The 12,011-nt window shown below is 38.7% G+C and overlaps 1 annotated feature.

The window, feature by feature from the left end:
* Nucleotides 10,054-10,576: an enhancer, noted in NCBI's record as "NANOG-H3K4me1 hESC enhancer chr7:136464707-136465229 (GRCh37/hg19 assembly coordinates)". NCBI's record gives its function as "activates a minimal SCP1, AML or CMV promoter by ChIP-STARR-seq in naive H9 embryonic stem cells {active_cell/tissue: H9 hESC(naive)}" and the evidence as "EXISTENCE:reporter gene assay evidence [ECO:0000049][PMID:30033119]".

Consider the following 12,011-nt stretch of genomic DNA (forward strand, 5'->3'; position numbering starts at 1 on the left):
TAGGTTCTAGGGTACATGTGCACAACGTGCAGGTTTGTTACTTATGTATACTTGTGCCATGTTGGTGTGCTGCACCCATTAACTCGTCATTTACATTAGTTATATCTCCTAATGCTATCCCTCCCCCCTCCCCCTACCCCACAACAGGCCCCGGTGTGTGATGTTCTCCTTCCTGTGTCCAAGTGTCCTCATTGTTCAATTCCCACCTATTAGTTAGAACATGCAGTGTTTGGTTTTTTGTCCTTGTGATAGTTTGCTGAGAATGATGGTTTCCAGATTCATCCATGTCCCTACAAAGGACATGAACTCATCATTTTTTATGGCTGCATAGTATTCCATGGTGTATATATGTGCCACATTTTCTTAATCCAGTCTATCATTGTTGGACATTTGGGTTGGTTCCAAGTCTTTGCTATTGTGAATAGTGGAAAGGATTCCCTATTTAACAAATGGTGCTGGGAAAACTGGCTAGCCATATGTAGAAAGCTGAAACTGGATCCCTTCCTTACACCTTATACAAAGATTAATTCAAGATGGATTAAAGACTTAAATGTTAGACCTAAAACCATAAAAACCCTAAAAGAAAACCTAGGCAGTACCATTTAGGACACAGGCATGGGCAAGGACTTCATGTCTAAAGCACCAAAAGAAAGGATTCTAAAAGCAGCAAAAGAAAAGAAACAAATAACATAAAAAGGAGCTCCAATACATCTGTCAGCAGACTTTTCAGTGGAAAGTTTACAGGCTAGGAGAGAGTGGCATGTCATATTTAAAGAGCGGAAGGAAAAAAACTTTTAACCTGGAACAGTATATTTGGTGAAAATATCCTTTAAGTGTGATGAAGAAGTAAAAGACCTTGCCAGACAAACAAAAGCTGAGTGATTTCATTAACACCAGACCTGTCCTACAAGAAATGCTAAAGGGAGATCTTCAGTCTGAAAGAAAAAGATATTAATGAGCAAGAAGAAATCACCTGAAGGTACAAAACTCACAGATAATGGTAAGCACAGAGAAAAACACAATTAGTATAACACTGTAATTGTGATGTGTAAACTTCTCTTGACTTTAGTGGGAAGACTAAATGATGAACCAATCAAAAATAGTAACTACAACAACTTTTCAAAGCATAGATAATAGTACAATAAGACATAAATAGAAACAACAAAAAGTTAACATGTAGGGAGATGAAGTTAAAGTGTAGAGTTTTTATTAGTTTTCTTTATTCATGTTTGTTTATGCAATCAGTGTCAAGTTGTCATCAGTTTAAAATAATGGGTTATAAAATAGCATCTTCAAGCCTTACAGTAACCTCAAATTGAAAAATACACAATGGATACACATACACAAAAAGCAACAAATCAAAGCATACTATCAGAGAAAATTACCTTTACCAAAAGGAAGACAAGAAGGAAGGAAAGGAGGAGAAGACGGCAAAGCAATCAGAAAACAAATAACAAAATGGCAAGAGTAAGTTCCAACTGATCAATAATAACATTGAATGTTAATAAACAAAACTGTCCAATGAAAAGACTTAGGTGGCTGAATAGATTTAAAAAAATACCCAATGATCTGTTGCCTACAAGAAACACACTTCACCTCCACATATACATATAGACTAAAGATAAAGGGATGCAAAGAGATACGCCACGCCAATGTTAACCAAAAAAGAGCAAAAGTAGCTATTCTTACATCAGACACAATGGATTTTAAAACAAAAGCTATAGAGAGACAAAAAATATCATTATATAATGATAAAGTGGTCAATTCAGAAAGAAGATATAACTATTTTAAATGAACACATCCCCAACACTGGAGCACTGAGATATATAAAGCAAATACCATTAGATCTAGAAAGAGAGATAGGCCCTATCACCATAATAGCGGGAGACTTCAGCACTGCAATTTCAGCAGTGGATTGATTTTCCAGAAGAAAATCAACAAAGAAACACCTGACTTAATCTGCACTACAGAACAAATAGATATAATAGACGTTTATAGAACTTTTTTTTCTTTTTTTTTGGTGGCGGGGGAGCACAATTTTGTTCTTGTTGCCCAGGCTGGACTGCAATGGTGCGATCTCAGCTCACTGCAACCTCCACCTCCCTGGTTCAAGCGATTCTCCTGCCTTAGCCTCCCAAGTAGCTGGGATTACAGGCATGTGCCACCACGCCTGGCTAATTTTTTGTATTTTTAGTAGAGATGGGGTTTCTCCATGTTGGTCAGGCTGGTCTCAAACTCCTGAGCTTAGGTGAGCCACTGCCTTGGCCTCCCAAAGTGCTGGGATTACAGGCATGAGCCACCTTGCCCAGCCAAGAAAAAAAAGGGAGAAGACCAAATAAATAAAACCAGAAATAAAAAAGGAGACATTGCAACTGATACAAGCAAAATTTAAAGGGTTGTTAATGGCTACTCTGAAAAACTGTATGCCAATAAATTAGAAAATATAGATGCAATGGACAGATTCCTAGATGCATACAACCTAGCGAAATTGAACCATGAAAAAACCCAAAACCTGAATGGATCAATAACAAGTAAGGAGATCAAAACCACAATAAAATATCTCCCAGTAAAGAAAAGCCTAATGGCTTCACTACTGAATTCTACCAAACGTTTAAAGAAGAACTAATACTAATCTACTCAAACTGTTCTGAAACATAGAGGAGGTAGAAATACTTCCATACTCATTCTGTGAGGTCAGTATTACCCTAATACCACATCTAGACAAAGACAAATTAAAAAAAAAAAAAAAGAAAACTAAATGCCAATATCTCTGATAAATATACATGGGAAAATCCTTAACAAAGTATTAGCAAACTGAATTCAACAATACAATTTTATTTTATTTTATTTTATTTTATTTTATTTTATTTTATTTTTGAGACCATGTCTTGCTCTGTCACCCAGGTTGGAATGCAGTGGCATGATCTCAGCTCACTGCAGGTGAGCCTCCCAGGTTCAAGTGATTCTCCTGCTTCAGCCTCTCCAGTAGCTGGGATTACAGGTGCATGCCACCAAACCCAGCTAATTTTTGTATTTTTAGTAGATACGCGGTTTCACTATTTTGGCCATGCTGGTCTCAAACTCCTGGCCTCTAGTGATCCACCCGCCTCAGCCTCCCAAAGTGCTGGGATTACACTCGTAAGCCAGCACACCCGGCCTCAACAACACATTTGAAAGACCATTCATCATAACTAAGTGGGATTTTTTTCCCAAGGATGCAAGAATGGTTCAACAGACACAAATCATTCAAAGTGGTGCAGCATATCTACAGAATGAGTCACAAAAAACGTATGATTATTTCAATTGATGATGAAAAAACATTTGATAAAATTCTACATCCCTTCATGATAAAAACTCTTAAAAACTGGTTGTGGAAGGAATATACCTCAACACAATAAAAGCCATATATGACAGACCCATAGCTAATATCATACTGAATGAAAAAAAAAACTGAAAGCCTTTCCACTGAGATCTGGAGCACAATGATGATGTCCACTTTCACGTTATTAGACATGTTACTAGAAGTCTTATCTAGAGCAATCAGACAAGAGAAAGAATGAAATGCATCCAAACTGAAATGGAAGAAGTCAAATTATTCTAGTTTGCAGATAATATGATCTTTTATTTGAAAAAACATAGACTGTACTAAAAAAACTTTTAGAAATGATAAATGCAGTAAAGTTGCAGGATACAAAAGTCAACATACAAAAATCAGTAGCATTTCTATATGTGAACAGTGACCAATCTGAAAAAGAAATCAAAAAAGTAATCACATTTATAATACCCACACATCAAATAAATTACCTAGGAAATATTTTAACCAAAAAAGTGAAATATCTCTACGATGAAAAGTATAAAATACTGATAAAAGAAACTGAAGAGGACACACATACAAAAATGGAAAGATGGTCCATGTGAATGGATTGAAGAATCAATATTGTTAAAATATCCATATTACCCAAGGCAATCTTCAGATTCAGTGGAATCCATATCAAAATACCAATGACATTCTTCAAATAAATAGAAAAAAAACCCTAAAATATATGTGAAACCACAAAAGACCCAGAATACCCAAAGCTCTCCTAAGCAAAAAGAACAAAACTGGAAGAATCACATTACCTGACTTCAAATTATACTACAGAACTATAGTAACAAAAACAGCATGATACTGGCATAAAAACAGACACACAGACCAATGGAATAGAATAGAGAACCCAGGAACAAACTACAGTGAACTCATTTTCGACAAAAGTGCCAAGAACGTACAGCAGAGGACAAACAGTCTATTCAATAAGTGGTGTTGGAAAAACTAGATATCTATATGTAGAAAGGTGAAATTTGACCCCTATCTTTTACAATATATGAAAGCCAAGTCAAAATGAATTAAAGACTGAAATCTAAGACTACACACTATGAAACTACTACAAGAGAACATTGGGGAAATTCTCCAGGACATTGGATTGGCAAAGATTTCTTGAGTAATATCCCACGAGCACAGACAACCAAAGCAAAAATGGACAAATAGGGTTACATGAAGTTAAAAAGCTTCGGCACAGCAAAGGAAACAATCAACAAAGTGAAGATACAACCTGCAGAATGGGAGAAAATATTGCAAACTACCCATCAGACAAGGGGTAAATAGGGAAAATACATAAGGAGCTCAAACAACTCAACAGAAGCAAAAATCTAATAATCTGATTTTAAAATGGGCAAAATATTTGAGTATATTTCTCAAAATAAAACATAAAGATGGCAAACAAGCATATGACAAAGTGCTCAACATCAATGATCATCAGAGAAATGCAAATTAAAACTACAATGAGATATCATCATACCTCAGTTAAAATGGCTTTATTTTTTTTATTATACTTTAAGTTTTAGGGTACATGTGCACATTGTGCAGGTTAGTTACATATGTATACATGTGCCATGCTGGTGCACTGCACCCACTAACTCGTCGTCTAGCATTAGGTATATCTCCCAATGCTATCCCTACCCCCTACCCCCACCCCACAACAGTCCCCAGAGTGTGATATTCCCCTTCCTGTGTCCATGTGATCTCATTGTTCAATTCCCACCTATGAGTGAGAATATGCGGTGTTTGGATTTTGCACTTGTGATAGTTTACTGAGAATGATGATTTCCAATTTCATCCATGTCCCTACAAAGGACATGAACTCATCCTTTTTTATGGCTGCATAGTATTCCATGGTGTATATGTGCCACATTTTCTTAATCCAGTCTATCATTGTTGGACATTTGGGTTGGTTCCAAGTCTTTGCTATAGTGAATAGTGCTGCAATAAACATACGTGTGCATGTGTCTTTATAGCAGCATGATTTATAGTCCTTTGGGTATATATCCAGTAATGGGATTGCTGGGTCAAAGGGTATTTCTAGTTCTAGATCCCTGAGCAATTGCCACACTGACTTCCACAATGGCTGAACTAGTTTACAGTCCCACCAACAGTGTAAAAGTGTTCCTATTTCTCCACATCCTCTCCAGCACCTGTTGTTTCCTGACTTTTTAATGATTCCCATTCTAACTGGTGTGAGATGGTTATCTCATTGTGGTTTTGATTTGCATTTCTCTGATGGCCAGTGATGATGAGCATTTTTTCATGTGTTTTTTGGCTGCATAAATGTCTTCTTTTGAGAAGTGTCTGTTCATGTCCTTCACCCACTTTTTGATGGGGTTGTTTGTTATTTTCTTGTAAATTTGTTTGAGTTCATTGTAGATTCTGGATATTAGCCCTTTGTCAGATGAGTAGGTTGCAAAAATTTTCTCCCATTTTGTAGGTTGCCTGTTCACTCTGATGGTAGTTTCTTTTGCTGTGCAGAAGCTCTTTAGTTTAATTAGATCCCATTTGTCAATTTTGGCTTTTGTTGCCATTGCTTTTGGTGTTTTGGACATGAAGTCCTTGCCCATGCCTATGTCCTGAGTGGTAATGCCTAGGTTTTCTTCTAGGGTTTTTATGGTTTTGGGTCTAACGTTTCAGTCTTTAATCCATCTTGAATTGATTTTTGTATAAGGTGTAAGGAAGGGATCCAGTTTCAGCTTTCTACATATGGCTAGCCAGTTTTCCCAGCACCATTTATTAAATAGGGAATCCTTTCCCCATTGCTTGTTTTTCTCAGGTTTGTCAAAGATCAGATAGTTGTAGATATGTGGCGTTATTTCTGAGGGCTCTGTTCTGTTCCATTGATCTATATCTCTGTTTTGGTACCAGTACCATGCTGTTTTGGTTACTGTAGCCTTGTAGTATAGTTTGAAGTCAGGTAGTGTGATGCCTCCAGCTTTGTTCTTTTGGCTCAGGATTGACTTGGCGATGCAGGCTCTTTTTTGGTTCCATATGAACTTTAAAGTAGTTTTTTCCAATTCTGTGAAGAAAGTCATTGGTACCTTGATGGGGATGGCATTGAATCTGTAAATTACCTTGGGCAGTATGGCCATTTTCACGATATTGATTCTTCCTACCCATGAGCATGGAATGTTCTTCCATTTGTTTGTATCCTCTTTTATTTCCTTGAGCAGTGGTTTGTAGTTCTCCTTGAAGAGGTCCTTCACATCCCTTGTAAGTTGGATTCCTAGGTATTTTATTCTCTTTGAAGCAATTGTGAATGGGAGTTCACTCATGATTTGGCTCTCTGTTTGTCTGTTGTTGGTGTATAAGAATGTTTGTGATTTTTGTACATTGATTTTGTATCCTGAGACTTTGCTGAAGTTGCTTATCAGCTTAAGGAGATTTTGGGCTGAGACAATGGGGTTTTCTAGATATACAATCATGTCGTCTGCAAACAGGGACAATTTGAATTCCTCTTTTCCTAATTGAATACCCTTTATTTCCTTCTCCTGCCTAATTGCTCTGGCCAGAACTTTGAACACTATATTGAATAGGAGTGGTGAGAGAGGGCATCCCTGTCTCATGCCAGTTTTCAAAGGGAATGCTTCCAGTTTTTTCCCATTCAGTATGATATGGGCTGTGGGTTTGTCATAGATAGCTCTTATTATTATGAAATACATCCCATCAATACCTAATTTATTGAGAGTTTTTAGCATGAAGGGCTGTTGAATTTTGTCAAAGGCCTTTTCTTCATCTATTGAGATAATCATGTGGTTTTTGTCTTTGGTTCTGTTTACATGCTGGATTACATTTATTGATTTGCGTATATTGAACCAACCTTGCATCCCAGGGATGAAGCCCACTTGATCATGGTGGATAAGCTTTTTGATGTGCTGCTGGATTCGTTTTGCCAGTATTTTATTGAGGATTTTTGCATCAATGTTCATCAAGGATATTGGTCTAAAATTCTCTTTTTTGGCTGTGTCTCTGCCCAGCTTTGGTATCAGAATGATGCTGGCCTCATAAAATGAGTTAGGGAGGATTCCCTCTTTTTCCATTGATTGGAATAGTTTCAGAAGGAATGGTACCAGTTCCTCCTTGTACCTCTGGTAAAATTCGGCTGTGAATCCATCTGGTCCTGGACTCTTTTTGGTTGGTAAATATTGATTATTGCCACAATTTCAGCTCCTGTTATTGGTCTATTCAAAGATTCTACTTTTTCCTGGTTTAGTCTTGGGAGAGTGTATGTGTCGAGGAATTTATCCATTTCTTCTAGATTTTCTAGTTTATTTGCGTGAAGGTGTTTGTAATATTCTCTGATGGTAGTTTGTATTTCTGTGGGATCGGTGGTGATATCCACTTTATCATTTTTTATTGTGTCTATTTGATTCTTCTCTCTTTTTTTCTTTATTAGTCTTGCTAGAGGTCTATCAATTTTGTTGATCCTTTCAAAAAATCAGCTCCTGGATTGATTGATTTTTTGAAAGGTTTTTCATGTCTCTATCTCCATCAGTTTTGCTCTGATCTTAGTTATTTCTTGCCTTCTGCTAGCTTTTGAATGTGTTTGCTCTTGCTTTTCTAGTTCTTTTAATTGTGATGTTAAGGTGTCAATTTTGGATCTTTCCTGCTTTCTCTTGTGGGCATTTAGTGCTATAAATTTCCCTCTACACACTGCTTTGAATGCGTCCCAGAGATTCTGGTATGTTGTGTCTTTGTTCTCGTTGGTTTCAAAGAACATCTTTATTTCTGCCTTCATTTCGTTATGTATCCAGTAGTCATTCAGGAGCAGGTTGTTCAGTTTCCATGTAGTTGAGCAGTTTTGAGTGAGATTCTTAATCCTGAGTTCTAGTTTGATTGCACTGTGGTCTGAGAGATAGTTTGTTATAATCTCTGTTCTTTTACATTTGCTGAGGAGAGCTTTACTTCCAAGTATGTGGTCAATTTTGGAATAGGTATGGTGTGGTGCTGAAAAAAATGTATATTCTGTTGATTTGGGGTGGAGAGTTCTTTAGATGTCTATTAGGTCTGCTTGGTGCAGAGCTGAGTTCAATTCCTGGGTATCCTTGTTGACTTTCTGTCTCGTTGATCTGTCTGATGTTGACAGTGGGGTGTTAAAGTCTCCCATTATTAATGTGTGGGAGTCTAAGTCTCTTTGTAGGTCACTCAGGACTTGCTTTATGAATCTGGGTGCTCTTGTATTGGGTGCATATATATTTAGGATAGTTAGCTCTTCTTGTTGAATTGATCCCTTTACCATTATGTAGTGGCCTTCTTTGTCTCTTTTGATCTTTGTTGGTTTAAAGTCTGTTTTATCAGAGACTAGGATTGCAACCCCTGCCTTTTTTTGTTTTCCATTTGCTTGGTAGATCTTCCTGCATCCTTTTATTTTGAGCCTATGTGTGTCTCTGCACGTGAGATGGGTTTCCTGAATACAGCACACTGATCGGTCTTGACTCTTTATCCAATTTGCCAGTCTCTATCTTTTAATTGGAGTATTTAGTCCATTTACATTTAAAGTTAATATTGTTATGTGTGAATTTGATCCTGTCATTATGATGTTAGCTGGTGATTTTGCTCGTTAGTTGATGCAGTTTCTTCCTAGCCTTGATGGTCTTTACATTTTGGCATGATTTTGCAGTGGCTGGTACCGGTTGTTCCTTTCCATGTTTAGCGCTTCCTTCAGGAGCTCTTTTAGGGCAGGCCTGGTGGTGACAAAAATCTCTCAGCATTTGCTTGTCTGTAAAGTATTTTATTTCTCCTTCACTTATGAAGCTTAGTTTGGCTGGATATGAAATTCTGGGTTGAAAATTCTTTTCTTTAAGAATGTTGAATATATTGGCCCCCACTCTCTTCTGGCTTGTAGGGTTTCTGCCAAGAGATCCGCTGTTAGTCTGATGGGCTTCCCTTTGAGGGTAACCTGACCTTTCTCTCTGGCTGCCCTTAACATTTTTTCCTTCATTTCAACTTTGGTGAATCTGACAATTATGTGTCTTGGAGTTGCTCTTCTCGAGGAGTATCTTTGTGGCGTTCTCTGTATTTCCTGAATCTGAACATTGGCCTGCCTTGCTAGATTGGGGAAGTTCTCCTGGATAATATCCTGCAGAGTGTTTTCCAACTTGGTTCCATTCTCCCCATCAGTTTCAGGTACACCAATCAGATGTAGATTTGGTCTTTTCACATAGTCCCATATTTCTTGGAGGCTTTGCTCATTTCTTTTTATTCTTTTTTCTCTAAACTTCCCTTCTCGCTTCATTTCATTCATTTCATCTTCCATCGCTGATACCCTTTCTTCCAGTTGATCGCATCGGCTCCTGAGGCTTCTGCATTCTTCACGTAGTTCTCGAGCCTTGGTTTTCAGCTCCATCAGCTCCTTTAAGCACTTCTCTGTATTGGTTATTCTAGTTATATATTCTTCTAAATTTTTTTCAAAGTTTTCAACTTCTTTGCCTTTGGTTTGAATGTCCTCCCGTAGCTCAGAGTAATTTGATCATCTGAAGCCTTCTTCTCTCAGCTCGTCGAAGTCATTCTCCATCCAGCTTTGTTCAGTTGCTGGTGAGGAACTGCGTTCCTTTGGAGGAGGAGAGGCGCTCTGTGTTTTAGAGTTTCCAGTTTTTCTGTTCTGTTTTTTCCCCATCTTTGTGGTTTTATCTACTTTTGGTCTTTGATGATGGTGATGTACAGATGTGTTTTTGGTGTGGATGTCCTTTCTGTTTGTTAGTTTTCCTTCTAACAGACAGGACCCTCAGCTGCAGGTCTGTTGGAATACCCTGCCGTGTGAGGTGTCAGTGTGCCCCTGCTGGGGGGTGCCTCCCAGTTAGGCTGCTCGGGGGTCAGGGGTCAGGGACCCACCTGAGGAGGCAGTCTGCCCGTTCTCAGATCTCCAGCTGCGTGCTGGGAGAACCACTGCTCTCTTCAAAGCTGTCAGACAGGGACATTTAAGTCTGCAGAGGTTACTGCTGTCTTTTTGTTTGTCTGTGCCCTGCCCCCAGAGGTGGAGCCTACGGAGGCAGGCAGGCCTCCTTGAGCTGTGGTGGGCTCCGCCCAGTTGGAGCTTCCAGGCTGCTTTGTTTACCTAATCAAGCCTAGGCAATGGCGGGCGCCCCTCCCCCAGCCTAGCTGCCACCTTGCAGTTTGATCTCAGACTGCTGTGCTAGCAATCAGTGAGACTCCATGGGCGTAGGACCCTCTGAGCCAGGTGCGGCATATAATCTCGTGGTGGGCCGTTTTTTAAGCCTGTCCGAAAAGCGCAATATTCGGGTGGGAGTGACCCGATTTTCCACGTGCGTCCGTCACCCCTTTCTTTGACTCGGAAAGGGAACTCCCTGACCCCTTGCGCTTCCCAAGTGAGGCAGTGCCTGGCCCTGCTTCGGCTCGCGCACAGTGCGCGCACCCACTGACCTGCGCCCACTGTCTGGCACTCCCTAGTGAGATGAACCCGGTACCTCAGATGGAAATGCAGAAATCACCCGTCTTCTGCATCGCTCACGCTGGGAGCTGTAGACCAGAGCTGTTCCTATTCGGCCATCTTGGCTCCTAAAATGGCTTTTATAAAAAAAAAATACAGTCAATAACAAATGCTGGTGAGGATGCTGGCAAGGATGTGGAGAAAAGGGAGCCCTTGTATGCCATCGGTAGGAATGTAAACTAGTACAACCACTATGAAGAATAGTTTGGATGTTCCTCAAAAACCTAAACATAGAACTATCATATTATACAGCAATCCCACTGCTGGTTACATACCCAAAAGAAAGGAAATCAGTATACTGAAGGGATATTTGCACTCCCATGTTTACTGTAGCACTATTCACAATAGCCAAGATTTGGAAGCAACTTACATGTCCATCAACAGAGGAATGGATAAAGAAAATGAAATACACCCAATGGAGTACTATTCAGTCATAAAAAATAATGAGATTCTGTAATTTGCAACAACATGGATGGAACTGGAGGTCATTATGTTAAGTGAAATAAGCCAGGCACAAAAAGACAAGCTTTGCATGTTCTTATTTATAGGAGATAGAAATTAAGACAATAGAACTCATGGAGATAGAGAATAGAAGATGGTTACCAGAGGCTGTGAACAGTAGTGGGTGGGGGTCAGGGAGAATTTGGGGATGGTTAATGGGCACAAATAATAAAAAGAATGAATAAGACAGTATTTTATAGCACAACAGGGGGACTATAGTAAATAACAATTTGTCATTTAAAAATAACTAGAAGAGTATAATTGGATTGTCTGTAACACAAGAGATTTATAAATGCTTGAGGAGATGGACATCCAATTTTCCACAATGTGATTATTACGTATTGCATGCCTGTATCAAAATATCTCACATACCCCATAAATATATGCATCTAGTATGCTCCACAAAGATTAAAAACAAGAAAAATATTTAAAAAGAGAATTTTAATACCAACTGTGTTGAGCAGCCTGCTTTATATGAGTGCATCTACTGGAGATCAACAATAATCATGTCTAATTATTGAATACATTGTGTGGTTCTGGTGTTTTTTAATATAAAATGTTATTTTATCCTCAAAACAACATTAAGAGGCCATTCTATTTCCTTCTTCTATAGATGAGTTAAATGAGGCTTATAGAGAATTTTCCCAGGTCCCAAACACCTTTCTGATAAATAGGATGTGCATTCACTGTCAGCTATATCAG

The sequence above is a fragment of the Homo sapiens genome, chromosome 7, assembly GCF_000001405.40.
Source record: "Homo sapiens chromosome 7, GRCh38.p14 Primary Assembly".
NCBI lineage: Eukaryota > Metazoa > Chordata > Mammalia > Primates > Hominidae > Homo > Homo sapiens.